Genomic DNA, 26,741 nt, shown 5'->3' with positions numbered 1-26,741 from the left:
TCTGACCTGGGCATCTCTGCCTCCTCAGCAAGGGAAGGGGGATAGGTGGGGGTGGAGGCCTCATTCCACTCATCCATGCATACACATGCGTGACCTTGGAAGTGCAGGGAGTCAACACCTCATCGGGCAACCTTTGATCAATGGGGAACAGGAGCTTGTGTTGCTCAGGTGAAAGATTCTAAGATGCGTTCTACACAGATCCTAAGAAAGTGCCCAGAGGGACCCAGACAACAGTGGACCATAGTGTAAGCTGCTTGATATTGCACCCTTGCATTGACTTGCCCTCCTTCCCTGTTTCACTCTTTTTCACCCCCACTCCTGTTCCATGCGATTACATCCCAAAGTAACTGTAGGCAGGCCCTTGTCTCAGGCTGTGCTTTTGTGGAGAATGCATGCTAAGGCTGTCTGATTACTCCACTGCTATATTTCTAGCCCCGAGAATGGTATTGAGCACATAATAGACACTATATGAATATTTTTTGATGAAACTCTTGAGTAAGTAAATCCATTTCCCATCAATAGAAATAATACAGCATACACATTTCACAAGGTCCACAAAATTGAAATAAACTAGTCAGAGTTCTAAAAATAAGATATATTCTTAATTTTGCTGAGTGTCTCAACAAATACTGAGCTCCACTTAAATGTCTGGCACTAGGATTGATCTGTACAGGAGACAAAGATAAATAATATCTCTTCTCCCATGATATTATCTCAGCGTTATCAAGAAGAGGGATGCCCAGAGTAGCTATGAGCAGTTCAAGGAGCCCATTAGATCTGCCACCAATTATCACCCGTAGGTCTCCTGTGGAGTATGTGAGATGAAGGAAATTAGCAGCACATAAAAAAGCAGACCATATTTGCCCTGCCAGAGAGAATATAAATCTTAAGACATTTTGTGACTGGCTTTCCAAGTGCTCAAATCAACTGTAGAAAATAGAGAAATTCTTGTTACCTAAGGGATGGAATTCAATAGCAGTACTTAAGATAGATAAAAATAAGGATGACAAACCTATCTCTACCAATGACAAGATTCTTTTTTTTGAAAGCCAGAGGGTTAAGGGATCTAATGCTATAACTATGGGAAAATGAGTATTATAAAATCCAGGTCTCTTACATATAGGCACATAATATTACAAAATCTCAGAAAAGCTGCAATACAACTTTTGCTGTCACTAGTGGCTTAGCATTGACTGAAGTCATTGCTCCCTGGGAGCTAAATTACCCCAGAGTTGACAAGCCAGTCTAGTCTCAGTAGAAAACAGAAGGCACATTCAAAAGTGATAATTGAATAGAGTTTAATATAGGGGCTATATATAAAGATGTAGTAGGGCTTAGGGGAGACCAGGGGTAGCATAGTTCTTAGGGGCTAGCAACATTGGGAAGCCACTTTCTTTCCTATGACTGCAGGGAAATGGGAGACAGCCATGAGAGAGGGTAGCTGCAGGGAGAGAGCCTCCCAACAGGAACTGTGGCCTTCATCATGGATGTGTAGCCAAGCCTTGGCAACCCCTCAGTTAGAAACCTAGGGATATAAGTATCTCGATGCCACTCTCCCTCCTATTGAGGGTTTTAAGAATACAAATTTTATGTAACGATTAAATGGTATAAGATGTTGTATTAGTTTTCTAGGACTGCTGTCACAAACTACCACAAACTTGGTGGCTTAAAATCAAAGAAATTCAGTTTCTTACAAATATGAAGACTAGAGGTCCAAAATCAAGGTGTTAGCAGGGCTATGCTTCCTCCAAAGGCTCTAGGGGACAAACTGTTCCTTGACTCTTCCAGCTTCTGGGGCTGTGAGCTTCATTCCAGTTATTTCAGTCTTCTCATGGCCTTCTCCTCCTTTCCCTGTGTCATCTCCTCTTCTGTTTCTTATAAGGACATTAGTCATTGGATTTAAGGCCCACCCCATTAATTCAGGAGGATCTCTTCTTGAGATCCTTAATTTAATTACATCTGCAAAAATCCTTTTTCCAAATTAGATCATATTTACAGGTGCTTTTCACATATATCTTGAGGGGTCACCATTAATCCCACTAAAGATATAATGAAGTAAAATATTTTCAGCAAATTAAGCATGCTATCAACACTGAGAAAACTGGAGGCGTGTAGTGGATACTGTGGTGCACTGTCCCATTTCCCCGTTCACGACTGAAGCACTAATTTTTTCTGCTGCTGGGAGTGTTGCCTGCTGATGGCTCATAGCTGCATCACTTTCCAAGAATTTCCTTAATCTAAAGAAAGCTGCCTCTCTAAGTTTTTGCTTTCTCCCTGGGAACAGCCCACTGGTAATGAGTGGATAATGAAGGAGGATGCACAAAGGTCTGGCTTTGTGCCTCAATTCTTGATAACTCTAAAGGGACATCCCAGCTCTAGAGCTGTCTTGTGGGAAGGGCTGAGGCTTCTGTTGCAACTTCGTTGGAAGGCAGCTTCTCCTTCCATCCCCTCTTGCTTCCCTCACTCCCTTGTAGGTGTTGTTCTCAAGAGCACTTCTTGATAAAGCTTTTGTAGGCAAATTTCACCACAGTGTCTGTTTTCCAGGGGCCTTGATTTAAGACATACTCCCACATGAGATGAACCATCAATAGTCTAAGTAGCTCAGAAGGAGGCTTTTTGGAGAACCATCCTCCCAATGCCTAAACAAAAGAAGTTTTATGCTCCATTGTGTGGGCTCTCTGTCTTACTATTGCCCCTGTGATAAGAAACATGAGGTAAGAAGTTAAACACAAAAACTAGAAGAATGAAAACCTTTTCAAAATAGAAGTAATATTTTTCAAGAATTGGACAGAAGTCTAAGTGGATGGTTAGTGGGTATTGAGAAATTAAATCAAGATCTTATCATATCATAGAAGATTTGAGAATATATTTTTAAACAGAAAATGAAAGCCAAAAGTCCTGGATATTGAGAACAGAAATTAAGAAAAAATATCTAAGTGTGGCTAGAGAAAAAGGAACATGTGCTAAAAGTAAAAAAGTAATGAATCCATAGCAATCCTGGGATGGCACAAGTTTCCCACAGTGTTGAATCCTCTCTTTTGACAGTAGAGACAAGCAGTGTGGAGTCTTCCTCCTCAGTGATTTGCACCAACAGCCAACCTTTCAACAGGTGTGGTTTCTCGGTACTGACCTCTAAGCTGCAGAGACTAAGCAGCATCCAGCCTGGCCTCCAGACACTTCCTGTCTATACCCCCAGTAGAAGTAATTGATAGAAAGGCATCAAAATCCTCTCCACTGGGGCTTGTTTTGCCATGTCAGAATCCAAAATCATTTTTGAAAATCACACCTAAGACTTTACAGAGAGAGATATATATATATACATATATATACACATGTGTATATACATGTATAACCTGTGCTAATTTGGGCTGTTCAGCACAGAGAAAATCTTGTACAGAACATGGATCCAAGGCATATCAGATATACTTTGGTTCTTGGCTCTGCCACTTTCTAGCTGTGGCCTTACACAGAAGCTATATCGGGGGAACCTGCCCCCAATATTTAAATGTAGGTTCTTTCTATTTTCCGTAAGTGTCAGCTGGCTGAGAAATAAAGAGAAAGAGTACAAAGAGAGGAATTTTACAGCTGGGCTGCTGGGGGTGACATCACATATCGGTAGGACCATGATGCCCACCTGAGCCTCAAAACCAGCAGGTTTTTATTAAGGATTTCAAAAGGGGAGGGGATGTATGAACAGGGAGGAGGTCACAAAGATCACATGCTTCAAAGGGCAAAAAGCAGAACAAAGATCACTTGCTTCTGAGGAAACAGGACAAAGGGCAAAAGGCAGAACTTCTGATAAGGGTCTATGTTCAGTGATGCACATATTGTCTTGATAAACATCTTAACAGAAAACAGGGTTCGAGAGCAGAGAACCAGTCTGATCAAAAATTTACCAGGATGGAGTTTCCCAATCCTAGTAAGCCTGAGGGTACTGCAGGAGACCAGAGCGTATCTCAGTCCTTATCTCAACCACATAGGACAGACATTCCCAGAGTGGCCGTTTATAGACCTCCCTCCAGGAATGAATTCCTTTCCCAGGGTATTAATATCAATATTCCTTGCTAGGAAAAGAATTTAGCGATATCTTCCCTACTTGCATGTCCGTTTATAGGCTCTCTGCAAGAAGAAAAATATGGCTCTTTTTGCCTGACCCCACAGGTAGTCAGACCTTATGGTTGCCTTCCCTTGCTCCCTAAAAATTGCTGTTATTCTGTTCTTTTTCAAGGTGCACTGATTTCATATTGTTCAAATACACATGTTTTACCATGAATTTGTACAGTTAACACAATTATCATAGTAGTCCTGAGGTGATGTACATCCTCAGCTTACGAAGATAACAGGATTAAGAGATTAAAGTAAAACAGGTGTAAGAAATTATAAAAGTATTATTTGGGAACTGATAAATGTCCATGAAATCTTCACAATTTATGTTCCTCTGCCGCAGCTCCAGCTGTTCCCTCCATTCGGGGTCCCTGACTTCTCGCAACTTCTCTCCCTTTCTTTTTATATAAATGTGCCATGGTGATGAAGGCTTGTTCGTTCTCTTGGTTTTGACACAGGATTCTTTGACTGGTCTGGCACACTAAAAACAAGCTGATTAAACAGGGAAACCTAATCCCAAAATTTACTACAGTGGAGCCCCCAATAGACTTAATCCAAATTGTGGGATTTAGTCCAGAAAGACTTTCTGCCACCTGATCTAACGCCTCAGCTCCAGGCACAATGGATAAATGAGCTTGAGAGACTTCAAAAATTTGTTTCTTTAGTTTAGTTATGTCCAAGGATAAATTATCTTCCCTACCCAGAAGGTGTCCTTTGACCATTTCCCATGAATGATCAGTCTCATTGTAGGAATATGGTGTGATACAGAAATCAGAAGTATTCTAATCGCACTGCATTTGCATGTGATGTTCGAGACTCATAAGCCGATCCCCAAGCCAAATAACAGACTGTCTTAAATCATTAATTTGATTAGCTAATATTTGATCGATGCCTTGTTGAGAATTCCACATTTGGGTGGAACTGGCTTGCCAATCATTAGCAAAATGAGCCATTTGAATAGATTGGTGTAATGCCACTCTGGCAGTGGTGGCCAGTGCAGTGACTGTAATTAGGCCCATGATCACAGCAATTACAGTGAAAACAAATCTCTTAGATCTTTTGAGAATTCGTTGTAACACTTCATTAATTAAATGTACTGAGGGGGAAGATTCCCAAGGTCTGGGTAAAGTTACTGGTATCTAGATTCCTTCTTGAGTTTGAACCAACATTACACTTTTCCTGAAGTCAAAATGGGAATGAACACAAGTGTATAAATGACAATTATTGCATTGGACAGTTTGACTGTTTGTCCAAATTTTGATATTTCCCATTAACAGCATGTAAGGAGGCTTAACACAACTCTGTATAGGAATAGTCAGGTTGGAGGTAAACAAAGCAGAATGTTTGAATCTATGTCGATACTGAGGGAGAGGAGTGGTGGTGGCAATGCCCGATGTTCTCCGCTGTAAAGAAGCAATCTGAGGTGCCCAGGGATGCTGAAGAGGTGGAGGGGTATACCCGGGTTGAGAAGAATTATTATTATGCCAATTGGAGTCCCATAAAGTAGGATCAGCATCAAAAAGAGGAAAAGGGTTCAAAGGGGATTTACCATGGGGTTCAGAATCACGGATGCAAGGGGCGGTAGTGGGGACAACAGACAGAAAAGTTTCCCCCTCCCATACTCAGAGTCTGGACATGACAATAGCCAATTTCCTATGTTCTGGGTGTTCTGGGCTCAGAATGGGGAATATCATATGAGGCCTCAGGTGGGGGGTAATGCCCTTATATTCCCATTTTAAGGGAAAGAATGAGCTGAACCTCCTACGCAAAGTAGGATGATGATCCTCGCCCTCCCAATAAGAAATAAAATAAGTACCCTCCAGGCATTCCCTTCTGCCAGAGGAGTAATTGTTTTTTAAATAGCCCTTTGGTGCCCAGCCTATTACTAAACCATATGGGTTTTTTTTAATACTGCTGCATGTGAGTTAACACAGTCTTCCCAAATTAAAGTTTTAGATGGGCCCTCAAAATTTTTAGGACATGGTTTTCCTACAGGTTTATATTGAAAGTATGGGGTATCTCCTATTACTCCCCTTTTTATTTGTCTTAAAGGAGAAAGGGAGAGGCCGGAGACCAAATGTCCTCCTTCCCTTGTAGCTAATCTCTCTGGAAGATAAGCAGACCAGACTTGAGTTTCTAGATGGATACAACCAGGTGCATGTCCGAGGCACAGAGGACGGTATTTATAACCCATAGTAACATTAAATGCAATGCCCTCTTCTCCTGGTTGAGCAGGGCAACGGTCATCTCTAGCTCCAGGCATCCACACACGATCGTTAGTATAGATTTCCTCAGGAGCATCCATCCAGGTGAAAGTTCGAATAAGTGGAGGAAAAGGCACATAAGCCCAATAAGAATAATTTTGTGTAGCAGGTAAATCAGTTTGAGGGGAAACTGGTGAGACAGAAAGTATAAGGAGGAGAATTATTAAATAAAACCAATTTAAGCAAGGTCCAGTGCTGAAGGAAGAAGAGAAGAACAGAGGGTTGTTATTTTCAGACTAATAGAAATGGCGAGATTTTTAGGTTCATAAGGAGAAAAAGAAAGGGAATTAGGAGAAGTGGGATTAGTTAGAGGGGTCTCCATTGCCATTAGGGAGGATTAAACCAGACCCATTTTGATTTGGCATGCCAGTTTCTGCAGAGTCGGCACAGATCTCACCAGGTATGATGGCGGTCTCTGACGCAGATGTCTTTTCCTTGTGGTTTTCATTGTCAGTATTTACAGGAAGTTTAAGTCTTCTAGTGGGCACCCAGACAGGGGATTGATGATCTCCAGGTGAAACACAAGCATACCCTCGTCCCCACATTAAAATTGTTCCAGGTTCCCAGGTATTGGTCTGGGAGTTTTTCCATAATACTGGCTTGCTTCCATTTAGGGAGAATTTTTTCCCTGTATAATGGCGTTCAGCTGCAGTCAGAGTATTGTCTTTAGGAACATTTAGAAAGTTTAAAGTAAACAATGCTAAATGTAATTGGGAGTGGGGAGTGGTTACATTATGCTTTTGTTGCTCAGACTGTTTGGACAATGGAGTTTTGAAAGTGCGATTGGCCCATTCCACCACAGCCTGTCTCTGAGGAAGTACTTTCTATTCATAATGAGCTGCAGGCTCCTGATTATTGATAATGGTACAGTAAAAGCAAATTTTTCACAATCCGATTTATGTAAAACAATATGAAAGAAACAGTCTTTAAGGTCAATCACTATGAGAGGCCAATTTTTAGGTATTAAAGCAGGGGCAGGCACGCCGGGTTGGACAGGTCCCATAGGTTTAATTACAGCATTAATGGCCCTTAAATCAGTTACCATCCTCCGCTCACCTGAATTTTTTTTTTTTTTTTTTTTTTTTTTTACTGGAAACACAGGAGAATTCCAGGACAAAAGAGACGGTTCCACATTTCCAACTTATAACTGTTCAGAAACCAATTGAGTTAAAGCCTCCAGTTTTTCTTTAGAGAGCAGCCACTGCTGAATCCAAACAGGTGTTTCAGATTTCCATTACAAAGTTACAGGATTAGGAGGCATGGCAGTGGCCGTCATTAAAAGGGATAACCTAAACCAGCCCTGTCTTCTTTTACAGTAACTTGAAGAGGTTTAGTAATTCCTTCATGTCTTGGACCGAGACCAAGTCTGGGAACAAACCCCATGTTTTCCATTATATGTTGACTGGGAACACTATAAGAGTTACATGGAATATTAATTTCAGCCCCCCACTGCGCCAGCAAATCTCTACCCCAAATATTAATGGGGGTTGGTGTGATATAAGGCTGAATTGTACCCTTTTGACCATCAGCACCAGTGCAAGGCAAGATAAATGTGCTCTGGTGAAATTCATCAGCTTTTCCAACACCTACTAGTCCCATGTTAGCGGGATGTTTAAGCCAGGAGGAAGGCCATAAATTAGAGGAAATAATAGAAACATCAGCCCCAGTATCTACTAGGCCGTCAAACTTTTTTCCTTGAATGTGTATGGTGCAGGTGGGCTGTTGTTTAGAAATTACATTAATCCTATAAGCAGCTTTTTCACTGCCGGAGCCCATCGCAGGGCCCCATGTCTTATCTCCTTTGTTTAAAATAATATTAGGTAGTAAAAGTAATTGAGCAATTGACTCACCGGCCAAAATGGAAACAGGAACTTTGGCAGACACCATAAGTTTAATCTCATCAGAGGAATCAGAATTAATGAGACCAGTATGAACTATGATACCGTCAGCAGAGGTGGATGCCCTGCCTAACACCAGGCCCACTGAACCTTGAGGTAAAGGGCCAATAACCCCCGTGGGGACAATTAAAGGGAAAGAATTAGGTAGTAAATTTAGAGGACTGGTACTACAGAGATCGACCGCCCTGCCCCCTACTGTGGAGTTCTAATATTCCCTTTTTAGGAAACCAAGGACAGTGTTCTTCCACCGCCCTGAATAGGGTGACCATATTTTCTATGGGCACTCAAACTCCTCCCTGTTTTAACAGGAATTTAATATAGCAGAGATAAGCATAATGTTTAGACTCCATGTGACCCATAGTTACCCTGGACAATACACAGACAACTCACCAATCATCAGGGAGCTGAACAAGCATTTCTGTGTGCCAGCCCAATGAAAATTTCTCCACACCTACCAAAGGGAATTGGGTTCCCACATGCACTTAGGAAAAAGAAAACCACATTGGTGTGCCAGATATCAGGGGAACCTGCCCCCAGTATTTAAACGTAGGTGCTTTCTATATTCCATAAGTGTCGGCTGGCTGAGAAATAAAGAGAAAGAATACAAAGAGAGGAATTTTATAGCTGGGCCACCGGGGGTGACATCACATGTCAGTAGGACTGTGATGCCCACCCGAGCCTCAAAACCAGCAGGTTTTTATTAAGGATTTCAAAAGGAGAGGGGATGTACGAACAAGGAATAAGTCACAAAGATCACATGCTTCAAAGGGCAAAAAGCAGAACAAAGATTACATGCTTCTGAGGAAACAGGACAAAGGGCAAAAGGCAGAACTTCTGATAAGGGTCTATGTTCAGTGATGCACATATTGTCTTGATAAACATCTTAACAGAAAACAGGGTTTGAGAGCAGAGAACCAGTCTGACCAAAAATTTACCAGGATGGAATTTCCCAATCCTAGTAAGCCTGAGGGTACTGCAGGAGACCAGAGCTTATCTTAGTCCTTATCTCAACCACATAGGGTAGACATTCCCAGAGCAGCCATTTATAGACCTTCCTCCAGGAATGAATTCCTTTCCCAGAGTATTAATATCAATATTCCTTGCTAGGAAAAGAATTTAGCGATATCTTCCCTACTTGCATGTCTGTTTATAGGCTCTCTGCAAGAAGAAAAATGTGGCTCTTTTTGCCCGACCCTGCAGGCAGTCAGACCTTATGGTTGTCTTCCCCTGTTTCCTAAAAATCAGTGTTATTCTGTTCCTTTTCAAGGTGCACTAATTTCATATTGTTCAAACACACATATTTTACCATGAATTTGTACAGTTAACACAATTATCATAGTGTTCCTGAGGTGACATACATCCTCAGCTTACAAAGATAACAGGATTAAGACATCAAAGTAAGACAGGCATAAGAAATTATAAAAGTATTATTAGGGAACTGATAACTCTCCCTGAAATCTTCATGATTTATGTTCCTCTGCCGTGGCTCCAGCCGATCCCTCTGTTTGGGGTCCCTGACTTCCTGCAGCAATGCTAAATCTCTCTAAGCCTCTGTGTTCTAGCATCTCTTAAATGGGTATGTGTGAAGACTGATGACATGTAAAGTGCCTGGCATCCAAGTAAGCCAGGTGCAAAACAAGCTATTCTTAGCATAAAATGCATAGTCCTTTTTGTTTTTCTAATGATAACAACAACTTTTGGCCAAAATGTTATTTTATATGAATTGCCTAATTCTTTCCTTGATGAAAACAAATGTGAACTTATTTTTCTTTCCCCGTATCAACTGTACAGATTCAAAAGAGCTGAAGAAGAGTGATCTGTATACTGGTTAGTGCCATCCATCATTAACCAAAGTTCCCAGCTCTGTTTTGGACCCCTAAGACAGTCAGTGATATATGGAACAAAAGGTGGTCAAAGAAAGTGATTTTCAGGCAAAGATTTGAGCTCACATCATGAACAATTTAGAAAGTCACCTTTTGCCCTAAGGAAGAAGTTGGGGAAATGGCAAAAGTGGCAGAACACTGCAATGTCATCTTTCTAAGCAATGTTATGTATGGGGTACAATTAGGAGCTTAGAATTTGGGTGGAAACAAACTTTAGCTTAGTATCTAGGATTTACCCAGCTTTTAGTTGAATGACCTTGGTCAAGTAACTTAAATTCTTTCAGCTTTAGTTTCCTTACATATAAAATTATGGTAATGACAATGCCTTCCTTCAAGATTGCTGTGAAAATTCAAAGGGATTACATATGTGAAAGTTTCTGGTGTAGTGTCTGGCCCATAGCACAGCTAACAAAGTCACAATAATGCTAAGAAAAGTAAGAAGCAAGAGAGAGGAGTCAAGGGAAGGAAGGCAGTTTCTAGATATAGCTCTCCTCCAACTCAGTGATGTTGGATAGATAGGTCATTTAATTTTCTGGGCTTGCATTTCCTCATTAGTAAAATGGTAAACTGCTAAAGATTACATAAATGAAAATGGCCTCCTAGTTCATTGATTCAATACGAGTTTAATAGTCATCACCAAATGACTTGGCCTGCCATTAAGTTATAAAATATAAGATTTCCATGAAATATATAGAAAATGATAGGCCATGTAAAACAGAAAATTATAATAAATTATATGAATAAATATCTTAGTTTTGGCAGATGTAGTCTGTAATCCCTTAATGCATTTTTTCTCCCTGAACTAAGGAGGTCTTTTCAATGCTCCTTAAAAAATCAATGCTGCAGTAAATTAATCACAGCCTGCTGCTGTGATTGGATTAATGAGAAGATCTTGCTAGGGCTTACATAAAAGTCTAAAGTAAACAGCTACCCAATACACAGATCTACTGGTTTGAGCACAGAAATGCTATAAAAATCTTAATAAATCCATCTGCTTAAAAGAAACAAAACCCCTTACTAAACAAGAAGAAGCTTCAACTTCAGATTCTCTGTCCTTTTGACCCCTTATCAATTTTGTTCAAATCAAATTTAAGTTTTATTAAAAGCATAGATCCCATAGAAGTCATAGGAAAGTTAGCCAATGCATCTGCCCCAGTTGCTTCCTGGGGTGATGACGACTCTAGACTCTTTAACATACATCAGATGAATGTCTAAATTTTCATCAAATTCACTTGTGAATTTAAAGAAGCCTCAGAACATTCAATATTGGAATCTTTTAAGCTAAGCTTGAGAAAGTCTCTTAAGCTTCCACTGTAATAGAAAGAAAGGTACAGCTAAGAAACTGAGTCCCCACTAATTTGCATGATTCAAGATGTTCAGCATAAAAGTTCAGGGAATGAGGAGTCAATATGCACTCAGAGGTTGCCATAATGCTCTGCTTTATCGTGTTTTACTTTCCCCACAAAGCAAGTGACAAAATGGGAATAAAGCCAGATGAATCTATTCTTATTAGATTGGGCCCACAATCTCATATTGGGTTTTAGATACTGGATTTCCTGCCAGCTTCTTGTATTGTCTGCTTATTGCTTTCAAGGAAGCCAGCAATGGCCTGGGATAACAGTGTGTCTGTGGTATGAGACATCTTAAATGGATGACACAATTTCCCTGGGCTCTGCTGCCAGTGGAGTTCCCTAAGCAAGTTAGTGTTTATGTGCTGCTGATGTTTGCGGGCCGGACAGGAATGATCTTTGCCTAGAATAATGATATCATCAAAGAAAGTGGGAACACAAAGATAAATATTCTTACAGATGACATTTACTCAGGGACCGTATTGTCTATCTGAGTGAGGAGCTGTTTTCTTTTGGTTAAGTTTCAAAGATTCTTTCTGCACTGATTTTCCCTCTCATTTCCTCTTATGTTGTTATGAAATACACTTGCCTTTGACGTATCCTTTATATCCAATTGTGGGATATTCCTCTTTCCCACATCAAATATGACATATGCTCCCCAAATCCACATGTTGTAGACTTGGTCCTTTAATAATTTTCTGACATAAACTTGATCTGTGTGGCTCAAGGCTTCAGTGTGACAAAACAATAAAGCACTTTTTTTTCCGTTTAAATTATACTTGAGCCTTGGTCTGGCTACTCTTCTTATAAATGTAAGTTTGATAATAAAAGTCCTAATGTTTGCTGATAGGTTGAAAAAAACCCAATATTTTTCATTAATTTAAATTTCAAAGACACTTCTGACATGGATGCCGAGAAAACAGGAGGCAATCAAATCAGTACAAAACCTAGATATTAGTAATGCTTTGTTAAAAATTAAAGTTCCTGGGGCTAGAAGTTGTGGATGGATGGGTAGGAAGAGAGAGGTGAGGGGGCACCACATCTCTTAACCAGAAGATTCCTTCATCTCCTATTAGCTCCTTCCAGGATTGCTGGTCCCCCTGGCATTAGCAGCTGACTGTCCCCTCTATCCAGCAGTGTCTTGCAGGACAAAGGCCAGCCTCACACCTGCTGCACTGGTCTTCACCTCTCTGTCCCAGCAATGCAACCACAGACCTATTGGGTAAAGCCCACCTGGCTGGAATGGAGGTTAGCTCTTTCCTCTCCTGACACCCTTTGCTCAGAAAGTGGGGCTTCTGTGGACCTTGGTCTGGCTTTCAGGGTAAGTCCAGGGCTGTGCTCTCTTGCCCCCATTCCTAACTCCATACACGCTTCTGTGGCTAGCCTTTTCCCATCTTCTTCGTAGGTGATTCCATCTTCTACTCTTGCAATCTTAACCTTTCAGCAGTCCTGTTTTCTTTCTTCTTTTATTCTCTGTCTACACTCCCAACTTCATTTATCACTAGTAAGTTCAAATATGCAGTGCCAGGGTAGTGGTGTGCACAGAGGCTAAACTTTAAGTCAGAAGGCAAAGAGGGAGAGGATTCTTTGGAGAAAAAAAAAGAGGATGAAAGATAGCAAGAGGGGGAAGCAGTTAAGTATTATTGGGATGAGACTTTTTTCATAAGACGAAATTTATATTAGGTTGTAGGAAGCAGAGAGTGAAGAGGAAGAGACTAATAATTCAAGAAACAGGAAAAAACTCACAGGGAAGTATTTGGGAGATTAAGAGAGTGCAATAGAGCACTGATGGGGTACGCAGACTGAATAGGGAAGTTTTTGCTCTATAGCAGGGTGGTTATCAGAGAAATTATGGTAAAATTGAGATGTGGAGAGTAAGAAAGTTGAAGTTCTGACTTGAACCTCCAACCTTATGTATAAATAGAAGGGAAGATGGGTTATTTGTGAAAATCAGTGAGGAAGGAGCCCTAAGGAAAGTGGAACAGGGAATTTTGGACTAGTTAGTGGGAGGATGGTGACAGGAGGCAAAAAAAAAATATTTCTGAGCATAGGTGAAAGTGTGACTGAAGATGAAGGGCTGACTTTGGACTGAAATCAACAGTACCTGGTGTTAGGGAGCAAGATAGGAGAATGCTGGATAGGAGGCTGCAACTTGGCCAGGTGGTGATGTTAGGAGGCTGAGGTGCCTAGGTACAAAAAGATGCGTGAAGACAATTAAATATGCTGACAATGGGGTCTATTGTCAAATATACTTAATTGCTTCCCCCTCTTGCTATCTCTCATTCTCTTTTTTTGTTCTCCAAAGAATCCTCTCCCTCTGCCTTCTGACTTGAAGTTCAGTCTCTGTGCACACCACTCCTCTGGCACTGCATATTTGAACTATATGGAAAAATAGAAACTAAAAAAGTGGCTGAGGAATGGTGAGAATAGGAAGTTTGGAGGGGACAAGAGAGGTAAGGAAGGAGGAGGTCAGCTTTCCCTCAATGCTTACGTATTGTTCTCTATTTTCATTAGTTTATCATTTCAGCCCCAATTTCACTAGTAGGTTAAAAGATGAGCACTTGTGTGAATAACATCCAATTTAGTAGTCAGCTACTTCTTACCCCAACAGCACATTGTTGTTCCAGCCAACACCAACTTATAGGGAAAATAAACTTTTTTAGAGGGGAACTAACATGTCTTTCTGAGTGGAGTGAGAAAAAGGGTAGTTCCTGCTGTCTGACAGCAGTAATCTGGGAACTACAGCCTTTGGACTTTAGGTCAAGGGAGTGAGATACGTCTTAGAGGAAGCAGAATGCCAAGGAATAACCTGGCCTAGCCATATTTGCCATATTTTGTCTTACAGGTGTCTGACGCTGAGGTAGATAAATTATTGTGAAATTCTGTCTAACTTTCCTGACCCAGGACAATGCGAGTGCTCAAATAGGAACCAAGAACTGGTGGGAGGGAAATGACCTACTTAGACCAAGACAGTTCCCCATATCCAAGTACAAATGGTGCCAGCCCTCAATTGTTTCTTTGTCTTTGGACAGCTGCCAAGTTTTGTCTCAGGAGGTCTTTATTTTCTTTCAAGAGACCAAAAATCAATCACTTAATTCTTGGTGAGGTTAAAGTGAAAGATTAGAACGGATTAGAGTCGATTATAAACACAATCCCTTCTGCTGTGCTTCCTGGGGACCAACAGGAGCCTGTCAGATGCCTCATTAAAACAATTACTCTCAGAAGCCAGTGATACGGTATCTACATTATCTATTGACCAGACCTGAGTCTACATTGAAACCAAACCAGGGAAATTAAGAGAACAAAACAGGAAATAAAGTGTCTAAAGGATCTCATAGATCCCAGATTGAATGGACATTGCTCACAAGCAATCACTCTATCTGTGTGTATGCATGTGTGTGTGGGTGTGTGTGTTTTACTTTAGATTAAGGCTGGCAAGGACCTTTAACTTCTGGAACTGACCAATCCAGATATTAATATTAGGCCCACACTTTCTGAGCTAAAAGAACTGAAAACAATGATGGTGATGGTGAAAGGTGAAAGGAAATTGAGTGTTAAGTAAATGATAGAAAGCTGTAGGCAAAGAGACAATTGAGGCTAGAAAATACTGCTGGTGCCTCTTCCACACCCCATGAAAATGCTGGGCCTCCACTTTGTGATGAATGGCACATCTGCCCAGCTGGTTCCTCTACCAGAGTAGATTCTGTATGAGGCATTCCTATTACTCAAAGAATGGCTAAGTGTTTCACAGATGTGTGGTTTAAATGTTTGCCAGGTGCCAAGTGTGAATTGGGGCTGGACAGCTTAAAGTCTCTACTGTGTGACCTCAGAATCATTTCAAGCTGTCTCTTCATTTTTTATAAATGTTATGTGAGCCAATAACACTGATAAGTAATTCTTTTTCACATTTTAAGTCTTAGAATAATACTTCATTTTTAAAGAATATTTCATAAAATGAGTGAATTTTGGTTGAAATTAATGCAGTGTCAAAATTGGTATTTTAATCATATAGAAAGGCAGAACATGTAAAGTCATGACTCTCTGTGCTACTGCAATACAATGTCCTAGCAAATATTTTTTTAAAAATTTAATAAATATGGTATTCTTTCCCTCTCTGCTGGTACAATGGGTTCTGCTATGTTTGCCTTGGGATTTTACATTTGGGATTTTTGCTTGCATTTACATGATTAAAGACACGGCATTAATTTTGCCCTAATACTTAGTTGTGATTTATTTTTAACTTTCCTCTTTAAGAAATAAAAGTTAGTAAGAGCAGAAAGGGGATAGGGACATTCATTTGGTAACTCAGTCAGAGTCTGAGTTGCTAATGCAAGCCTTATGAAGGCCCCTGAAGGCAAACATGAAACGCAGGACAAATAGCAACGCTCTCACGTGTGGTTACCCACAGTCATTCTCCATTGAACTGGACCAGCCAGTTGATTTACAAAGGGCCTCTCCCACCCACAGGATTACAACTGAATTTCAACTGTCAAAAGCACTGGATTTAGAATAACAAAACCTGGACTTGAGCCCTAGCTCTATCATTTACTAGCTCTGTGAACTTAGGCCAGTTATTTTACCCTTTGTGTCTGCCGTCTTATCTGAAATGAGAATACTCCAGGTTCTTCTTAACTGGAACAGGAATTTTCTTGGGTTTTTAGAAGGCTTAAATGAACTCACAAAGGGAGAACCACTTAACACAATGCCTGGTGCACAGCAGACATCAAATAAATATTAGACCATTTTCTTTCATCCCATTTTAATTAATAAAGAATGGCTTTTAAAAAATTATTTCTGGGAGTCACATTTCCAACTACCTATAGCTTAGGCAGAGATATCTATGCAAATCATTTTGTAACAATTTCCAAAGCATTATTAATCATACATTATCCCAGTGAAAAGAGGTCTGACCCTGAGAATCTTCTAGTCAAGTTCCCTCATTCTATGGATAAGGAAATTGACCCAGAGAGGTTCTGTGAAACACCCAAGGTCATACAGATACATGGTGGCAGTGAGAACTGGAATCCAGTTCTTTTGCCTCACGCCCAGTGCTTCCCTCCTTTACCAAGCTGGCACTACTGCTGCTGTGCCACAGAAGTGCACATGGCCAGGGTGCCTGTGAATCTGAAGGTTCAGGGGTACTTGCATATTTTCAGTCAGCTCACTGGTCTGAGCAAATGGCCAAACCTGGCATGTACCCAAATCCCTATGGAAAAAGGACTACTTAGTATGACCAATAAATACTTCCAGGAATTTATGGAGGAGCCGAGAGAGCTAACTTTGAAGCTAACCTAGATCTGATCTCATACACTTATCCTCATAGCTCACAGTGGTCTGATTGACTGTGTCCTAAATAGTTCTACCCGATGGTGACAAATGAGAGTCTAGACATGATGGATGGGACCAAAAATAGACAGGTGAATTCTAAGTTTAGCGTACACCACTTTTTCCCATAGGCGTCTCCTCTTCAGGTTGTGCTCGCAGTCCAATCTTTAAAAGCAGATAACATCTTGTGGCATACTTCAGGGAATACTCCCCAGCCCCACTGATGGACTGTATGGGATTCTGATGGAGGTCATTTGGAGCAATGGTTTCCAGAGGCCAGTCTGAAGGCTTGTGCCAGGCTGGCTGGCTGTACATCTAGGGAGTCCCTCTGGGGAGACAGCTTTAAGAGAGCTTTAATGCTCCCCCGACCTGCACAGACTCCTTTCTTGGAGATTCTCTCTCAGTCAGCCTGTGGTGAGGCTTGATCATCACTATTTTTCAAAAGATTCTCAAATGCTTTGATGTGTAGCCATTGCACTAATTCAGGGCGGGAGGGGTTGACCGAGATCTAAGGGACTGGTATAAATGGCAGTGTGAGGGCTTCTAAGCCAAGAGCATCACCTCATGGCACAGATACAATATAAAAGAGGGCAGTTAAGCATCATCACCTCATTCTGCTCTACCATAAGCTACTCCTTCCTGCAGAGTCAAACTTAATCGCCCATCCACGAGAATCTAGCCTTATACTTTGAGCATACCTCCATTTAGTATTTACTCTGCCAGGTGGGGGTTCCTGTCTTTCTCCTTTAGAGAGGCAGGCTCCTAGAGTTGAGAATAGAGACTGGCATATTCTTCGGTGACCCCTGTTCCTAGTGCTGTGCCTGGTGCATGGTAGCAATAGCCTCCTTTCTATCAGGAAGTGGCATCATCTCTGTTTGGACTTCAAGCAAAAGACATTGATGTGTTTGGGGAGAATCTTACATCACTAAAAACTTGGAATTATTTTTCCAGAGAACTGGTAGACTCAGTCCCTGAGCTTAATTTATGTGAGACACATCTTAACCTGATGACAAATAATAAACACACACAGTGTCACCTCAGATGAGCCATGTGGCCCCTGGGCCATCCAAATGGCTTCATAACTCTCAGAGTCATTCAGCCAGTGGCTGTCAAACAAATACAGATGCTGATATGGGAAGCAAAATGAGGCTAAAAGCTAGTGAGCCCACAAACCTACAATAAATTAGCCCCTAAATCAACTGGGATACTTTGGGAAGCATGTAGTCTTCTAAAGCAGATTCATCTTCAGCTTCTCTGAATTAATTTGGGGATTTATAAAACTGAAATTTCAGAATGAGAAAACAATGAAAGAGTTATTTGCCATGATCCAAGAGACAATTATACTTTTTATTGAAATGAAAGATAGTGGCAGTCTCAGTTGAACCTAAACTCTGTTCCTTCTTGGCTGGGGCTCAGACAAATCTGGTCAATGCTAGCCGACTCAGGATTGGATCTGCCAGAATTTTGTGGGACTAAGAGTAATCTTGGGGAGAATTTGTCTCAGGGAAGGAAAGAGACAGTCAGACTTGACTGTGAAGTGAAGTCTCAGCTTCAGGAGGCAGTGGGAATTCTTTGGACATCTTGTTGCCTCTCCTTCATATTTGTCTCCTGACCTAATCCTTATGAACTTATGTCTTGGTATCTAGAGAGGAGAGGAATAGGGTGAGAATATGGTAGTATACAGTACATAACTACTGAAATATTACATAGTGTCTATAAAGCTGCACCTGGTACAGGCTGAAATGTAAAAATTTATCTCTGAAGCATCATGTGAATAGAGAAACTTTGTTCACAGCTATTCTAATGAAAACATGCTGTTTTCTCCAAATTCTTGCTGTCCTTCCACTGCATCCTAACAGAATTCTCCCATCTACATAGCCTTTTCTTCACCATCCTGGTCCATCATCTCCTTTCTCTGCACAGAACTTTCACAATATGCATCTGGTATGGCATAGCTTTCTACTACAGGCCTCGCTCCTCCAGGAATGTGGTTCTTTTTCCCTGATTGCTTTACTCAAATTAATCCATCTACTTAGATCTTTTTCCCATCATCTCTTCAGAGAGGGGAGAGGCAAAGGAGCTAAAGTAGGGGAAAAAAGGAAGAAAAAAGCTGTGAACACATATATGTCAAAAAGTTTATCTCATCACAGCTTTCAATAAAAATTCTGTAGAGCATGGGACCCAAACAGCCCTTTTTTGATATCTCACGAAAGAGAAGAATGCAGTTTTTCACAGAGCCCCATGTAGTATTGGACAGGGTTTCTTGAGGGTTCTGTGCAAAAACAGGCCCAATGTAGGTGACAGTAGCCAGAGTGTGTGTCAGGGGTGCATTGAGATGGCAGTGGCATATTGTAGCAGAAGCATCTGATAGCACTCTCTGAAAAAAAGCAGTACCAGGGAGAGGCAGTGTCCATGCCTAGTGGCAGCATCAGTGCCCTGTGGAGGTGAGGGCAATACTCATGAAAGCAGTGGTACTGGTGAGAAAGAGAGAATCACAATGGGCTCTGCCAGCAGATACAGGGCACCTTAACATGGTCCACATACACTGGAGACCTTGACAGCAGAGCAGTGGCTCCGGAGCAGAAGTATACAAAGAAGGCCTACCCACTGTGGTCAATAAAGGAACTATTTGAAGCACATGTGAGATGCCCTTAAGAGCTGGAGGATTGGTGTTGGAGCTGGTGATGCTATAAAGCAAATAGCAAAAGACTGTGCTAATGTCACCGTGTTTTTCCTATTTTATGCCCTTCCAGAGAATAACACAAATCCAGGAATGAAGACATATGGCTTGAAGGCTCATAGATCACTTATTGCAAAAAGTTACAGTATGCATTCCAAACTGACATGCTGATATCCAAGTTTTCATAGCAAAATCTAGGCAAGAAGTTCCTCTTTTTAATTTAAATTATTTTTGGAAGTCCCCAGTAATCTATGATCAGAAGCCCTGTATTATGTGTGTGTCTACTCACTGGTCAGTGTTCTCTTCCATGTAGGATCTGGAATACATGCTCTCCATATAGTCCCTGAAAGACAGGCTTCTATCATTTAGACTCTGAGTGCTTGAGAATTAGATGGATTTATTACAGTATTTGTGCTGTAACAACTATATAGTCAGGAACAGATTTCTATTATTGGCCTATATCTCTTTGGCTAAAGATGGAATGATGAATGCATAAATGTATGCAGATAAATATGGTTTGATGTGATCTAGAGTATCTCTGAAGTAGCTAATAACATTAAATTAGGCAGCCCTTGGAAAGATATTTCCTCAGTCTTCATTCTTTAAGCATCACTGACATTATAGAAAAATAAGAAAGGATATTAGAGTAGAAATCAATAGATTTATATCTGCAAATCACTATGTATACTCAGACATGTTTCTTCATTTCTCCCTAGCTCAACGTTCTCATCCATATAATCAGAGAGTTGGATTGTCACTTAAATCCCTTTTGGTTCTAAATTTTTATGATTCTGCTTTTCTTCTGTTGCTTTAAATAGGGTAGAGCAATGGTTTTCAACTTCTTAAACCAGTGGTTCCCTTAATCCATATAACATATCGATTAACCTTAATATATACAGAAAATAAAGGCAGAAGTTGTGTGAATGAAGTGTGGATGGGAGGGGAGTTGACAATTCCTTGACTCTCCTCAACTTTCCTGCTGATTCCTTGAGTGTTTCTTTTATGCCAATTTATAAACCATTTTGCTAGGGAAGTGGGAACTAAAGAACTTGAAACTAGATGACTCTGAAGTGATAAAGTAAAAGCTAAATATTGAATGCATCCCAAAATTGAAGCACCAGTAGTTCTAGTTAGTTCAGGAGTCAGCTAGGAAGAACATAAAAGTTTCAGAGAGACGCTCAATAGTAGAGGGGCTGATTCAACAAAACACCAATTTTCTTCCTATGATTTCAAGACCAAATTCAGTAAAACCCTTATGTCAACTTCTCATCCCTTGAAAAATGAAGACACAAAGAGGGGAGCATTCCTGAAGGAATTTTGGACAGACAAACTTAAATCAGACTCATGGAAAGAAAAATGCATTTAAAATTTTTTCAAGTAGCACGATGCAATGACATGTCAATAACAAATGCCTGTAGTCACATTTTTAAATGATGGCTTGGAATCTATCCCCATTGCCCTCCCTCTCCCTTTCAAAATAAATGGCAAAATCAGGTTGAGTAAGAAATGTCATCTATGCTTTTCCCATTCTTCTTCAATTCAGAAGTGAAAATGATGTTGATGTTTTATTTTGGTCACCTTTTGTTAAAATCCTAACTGCCATCCATCGTGTCCTCTAAAAATATTAGCAATTCCTTTTGACCTAGTAGAAGACAGTGAGTTTCAAACTGACTCACTGGTGAGGATAAGTGATAAACTATGCTACTTTTCAGCTATTTTGGGTAAAGCCTATTCTTGACATAACTCTGATGGATGGTAGTAAAACACGCTATGGGCAAAAGCAAAAAGGAGGCAATGAGAAAAAGTAATCATGATATTTTCTCCACCTTCCCCTCTCACTTACCTCCCCACAAGAGAATGGTATGTCAGAGAGACCTCCAATATTAAATTTACAATTGTTCCTTTATTTAGCACAGCTGAAGGCTGTAACTGACTGTATCACAAAGGACTCTTCAGGAAAACTTGCTGAAATAGTTATTGAAGTAAAGAATAAAGAATAGAAAAAAAAACAAAACTTCTTCAGAGTGATGTCATTTCCGGCAAATGAGAGTTACTATCCCTTTAATCCTCATATATTCTTAATTAATCCTATCTTATCTTCAACTTTGTTTAAAGAGAATAAGATTTTGTTAATTCAGATTTTAAGTATAAATTTCTCCTTAGTGAAAAATTAAAAATCAGAGATTTATCTGCATAATTTTTCGCACATCTTTTGGCTTATTCATCCAAACATTAAGAATTTATGAAGTTCCTATGTAGTAAGCACTATTAAGTGGTGGAGAGACAACAAGTGAGTAACACATGAATCCTCTCTGTGTTAGTTCATTTGCACTGCTATAACAAAATATCTGAAGCTGGGCAATTTATTAAAAAAGGGTTTATTTTGACTCATGGTTCTACAGTTTGTATGAGATGCATGGCACTAGCATCTGCTCCTGGTGAGGCCTCAGGAAGCTTTCAATTGTGGTGGAAGGCAAAGGGAGAGCCAGTATATCACCTGGTGAGAGAGGGGACAAGAGAGAGAGGTGGGAGGTGTCAGGTTCTTTACACAACCAGATGTTATGTGAACTCAGAGCTAGAACTCCCTCATTACCATGGGGATGTCGCCAAGCCATTCACGAGGGACCTGCCCCCATAACCCAAACACCTCTCACTAGGTCTCACCTCCAATAGTGGGGATGACATTTCAGCATGAAATTTGAAGGGGACAAACATCCACACCATATCACTCCCCTCAAGAAGCTTAACGTTTTATTTTTCTGCATTAAAACCACAGCTTGAATCTAGATAGAGTTGTCTCTAAACTGAATGCATTATCAATAACAGGAAGCTAAAAGTAAAACCAAGATAAGCTGGGACTTAATAGCAGAAATACAATGAGAAAAAGATCAGCTCATTCCTAGTGTTCTATTATAGCCCAGTTGCTTATCATTATACTCTCTCATTCTCTCCTGTATCATCTGGATAGGAGGTGCAGTGCCTTTGTACCAGGCCATATCCTTCTTTCTAATACTAATGGCAGACATAAGCAGTGATTTGAGCAGAATCAGATCACTGGTCCTTCTTATTTTTACCTAATGTTGTATGAAATGTAAATCTAAATTTTGAAAGGAAAACAAATTCTAAAAAGCAAAGAGAACTTTTAATTTCCTTGAAGATATTCTCCTTATTCCACTTTTATGTAAGACAATGTAGTGGGGATTATTTTTATGTCTATCTAATTTAATTCTGTCAATGTCACTGTGAGGGAGAAATGATCGATATTGAGATTCAAACAATTGGGTAATTTACAGGTAGAAGAAAGTGGCAGCAAACATATAATGGAATAGTTGCAGATTATAATACAGGCTCTGAAATTTGGTTTGTTAATAATGATGTGTGTTTATTATTAGAAATGTTTATTTATTAGAAATAATAAATACCTATTTATTAGAAATGTTTATCTATTAGAAAATGTTTTCTCTTAACATATTTCTTCAAGAAAGGAATTTTAGTAGTATCAAGAGACATCATAAAATATTTTATCTTAATCTACACTTATTATAGCTATAAACAATTATTTATGTAGAATGTGTGTACTAGTTAGTCAAGAATTAATGGTAGAGTAGAAGAAAGGAAGGAACAGAATGAAATAGTTACAGAATCACGTAATTCACCTATTTAAGAACATGCGGGTGTGAAATTATAGATTGTCTCTCTCAGCACAACTAGAGGAGGATTGCAAGAACTCTTCCACTTAAGGAAGCTCAAATGTATCAACTATTTTTCATGGACGTATTCATCTTCTATGGTCTAAATGTGCCCCCCAAATTCATATGTTAGAGACTTTATCCTCAGCATAATAGTGTTAGGAGATGGGGCCTTTTGAGAGGTGTTTAGGTCATGAGGGATCTGTCCTAAATAATGGAATAATGCCTTTAAAAAGGGGGCTGTAGGGGTGGGTTTGCTTTCTCTTGCCCTTCAACCTTCCTCCATGTGAAGATGCAGAGGCTTGTGTCTGGATCTTGGATTTTCCAGCCTCCAGAACTTTGAGATAATAAATTTTTGTTATTTATAAATTATTGAGTGTGTGGTATTTTCTTATGGCAGCACAAATGGACTAAGACATCATGCTATAGGGTCCATTGGAGCATCTAAATGAAACGAGTTAACTTTTCAGTGCAGATGAACAGAAACATAGCAGAAACAGCATGCCCACTTTTAAATAACTATACTGCTTCACAAATAATACAGGTATCTTACAATGAAGCATTCCCAATTCTTCTCTCCTGTCCCTTATTACATTGCTGTCATTCATTTCACTTATCCATAAACTATACTCACCTAGTACATTGTTGCTTTTATTATTTTGAACTGTTATCTTTTAGATCAATTAAAATTAATAAAAATAAAAGATTTCATTTTACTTCCATTTATTTCTTCTCTAATGTTCTTCCTTTTTTTGGATATAAATAGGTTTTTGTCTATAGTATTTTCCTCCCCTCTGAAAAACTTTAAACACTTCTTACAAGGCAGGTCTACTGGAGACCAAGTCCTTCAATGTTTGTTTGAGAAAGTGTTTATTTATACTTCACTTTTGAAAAATAACCCAATTCAGAATTTTGGGTGTTAGTTTGGTTTTTCTTTCAACACTTTGAATGTCTCATTCCACTTCCTTTTTATTTGCATACTGTCCAAATGGAAGTCCATTGTAATTCTTATCCTTGTTCCTCTATAGGTAAGGTGTTTTTCTTCTGGCTTCTTTTGAGATTTTTCTCTTTGTCTTTGATTTTCTGCAGTTTAATATAATAGGTCTAAGTATAGTTTTTTGGTATTTATTCTGCTGCTTGTTCTACCTGCCTTCAAGGTGACTGCCTCTGGCTCTCTCTCTTTCTTTGGGCATGCCAGCACAAGCCCCGTGCACAGCATCAGCAGGGTAGTTATACCTTTTACAGACAATAGTGGCTGAAAGCCAACCAGGAGCTTACACAAACAAGTGGAGTTATACACCTGCGCTCCAAACTCACAGAGTCACTCTGGCCCAGATGTCTGCCTCGGCCTATTCCTGACCAAAGCACATCCATGTACCTCATACATTTCCTTTCGATTCTTTCTCAGACTTCCATCTTTCCACTTACATTACCCATTTTTTTCTTGTGTGTTAACCACTTTATCCATTAGAACCCTGAGCATATCAATTAAAACTATTTTAAATTTCTGGTGTGATAATTCTGAAATCTCTGCCATATGTAAGTCTGCTTATGAAGTTTGCTTTGTCTCTCAAGACTATTTTTGCCTTTCAGTATGCCTTGTAAATTTTTGTTGAAAGCTGGACCTGATGTATAGGTAAAAGAAACTGAGGTAAATAGATCTTCGGTGTGAGGTTTTATGTATCTGGGTAGCAGTTAAACTGTGTTTATTGTTTGTTGTAGTTGCATGCGTCAGCAGTTAAAATTTTCTCTAGTGTCCTTTCTGTTGTCTTATAGAGTCCTAGTGTCTTTGTCCTCTTTGTCCTGTTGTCCTCTAGTGTCTTTTCTGTTGTCTCTGTTGTTTCTAGGTTTTCTGTTGTTCTGTCATCTCTAGGTTTCCTTAGAGACTTCTTAAATAGGATCTGAAGCTTGCAGTTCTCTTAGCTGTAATCCTCTGTTATTATACAGAAGCCCTGTTGATTTGGCAGTAACACATGGGGGAAAGGAAGCATTCTGTAGTTGCATGATTAGGTTTCTGTCTTTTAATGGGCTTGTGTCCCTGGGTTATGACCTTCACAAATGCTTATCATTGCTTCCCTTTCCCCTACTTAGGTGAAACAGGAAAGCGAAAGGAGACTAGAGTTGTTTCTTTCCCTTTCCCCAGGTAAGTTAGGCTGTGGCAAGGCCCAGGTAGGTAGGCTCTGGTTAAATAGTTTCCTTTGAGGGCAGGCCTTTGTTAAGAACAGAGCATTCTGGACTTATTTCAGAATGGTTACTTATCCTCTCCCCCCCCAACAGATATGATAAATTTTTCTCTGATACTTACCCTGAGAGCCTCATGGTTCTGGGCCCTCTTGGAGTTCTTATCTCTCAAGCTAGTTCCATGCTCAGTCTCTGTCAATTAGCCAAATACCATTTAATTTAGTTATTTTTAATAGGCTCCAGCAGTGGTTTCTAATTTCAATAAGCTGTGGTTCTCAGTATTTTGTCTCTCCAGTTTTCAGGGCAGTGGTTTGCCCTGTGACCTCAGTTCTCTGATAGATCAATTAAGCATTACTGTTTTTTTGTTTGTTCAGCTTTACCTTGTGAGGATAGAGTGATGGCTTCCAAACTTTTTACATATCAGACCAGACACCAGAATTTTCCAAATTTGCAACTTTATAATCTATCTACCTACCTATTCTGATCTGAGATATATGTTGGAAATGATTTTTTAACAGATTGTCATTTGCTTTTTTGTCTATAGTGTTTTAAGTATAATTTTATGTAATTAAATTTATAGACTTTTAATCTTATTGCATCTAGATTTTTAATCACATTTAGAAAGTTTTTAACCACCATTGAATTAAAAAAAATCGATCAATATTCTATATTAGAAATATGAATGGTTTTATTTTATCTTCAGAGATGTGATTCATTTGGGGTTTATCCTAGTGTGTGATTTGAGGCATGGAATTAATTTTTATCTTTTCCAAAATGACTATTCTGTTGTTTTAATACAAATTATTAAGTAGTCCATCTTTAACTGAGTGAATTGAGATTCAGTCTATTCCTATACTAAAGTTTCCAGATGTGCTTGGGTCTATTTCTGGATTTTGTGTTCTGTTTCATTAGTCCACCTGCCTAGTCATATGTGAGTACCATCTGTTTTAATTACAGAGGATTTTGTGTATATTTTAATTTCTGGTAGAGCTAGTCCTGCCTTACTGCTTTGTTTAGTGTTTTCCTATTTGTTATTCCTTGATTTTATTTTTGCATATAAACTTTTAAATGAACTGTCTAGCTCCAGAAGACAACTATTGTTATTGATGTAAGATTAAATTGATGGTAACATTTTTATGATGGTGAATCATCTTGTTAAAAAACAAGAAGTGTTTTTCCATTTGTTCAAATCCATTTTGGATCTCTCAAGGATCTTTTCAGGTTTACCTTTTATAATTTTTGCTTATTTCTTTTCTATAACTTTATAGAGGTATAATTGGAATACAATAAACTATGCCTATTTAAATGCACAACTTGAACAGTTTTGACATGTACAGACCTGTAAACTAAGACCAGATTCAAAATATA

At 39.6% G+C, this 26,741-nt stretch overlaps 1 long non-coding RNA gene across 1 annotated transcript in view, besides 1 other annotated feature; it reads right to left on the bottom strand.

Annotated features, from left to right (window-relative positions):
- Positions 1-26,741, bottom strand: part of LOC105374039 (uncharacterized) — a 177,487-nt gene that overhangs the window by 8,063 nt on the left and 142,683 nt on the right. The gene's annotated exons all lie outside the window — the stretch shown is intronic.
- Positions 24,236-25,435: an enhancer, noted in NCBI's record as "MED14-independent group 3 enhancer chr3:111227353-111228552 (GRCh37/hg19 assembly coordinates)". NCBI's record gives its function as "activates an origin of replication core promoter dependent on BRD2, BRD4, P300/CBP and CDK7 cofactors, and independent of MED14, by STARR-seq in HCT116 cells {active_cell/tissue: HCT116}" and the evidence as "EXISTENCE:reporter gene assay evidence [ECO:0000049][PMID:35650434]".

This window comes from Homo sapiens, chromosome 3 (genome assembly GCF_000001405.40).
Source record: "Homo sapiens chromosome 3, GRCh38.p14 Primary Assembly".
Lineage (NCBI taxonomy): Eukaryota > Metazoa > Chordata > Mammalia > Primates > Hominidae > Homo > Homo sapiens.
Note: the sequence above shows the minus strand (reverse complement) of the source record. Positions and strands in the feature narration are given on the sequence as shown.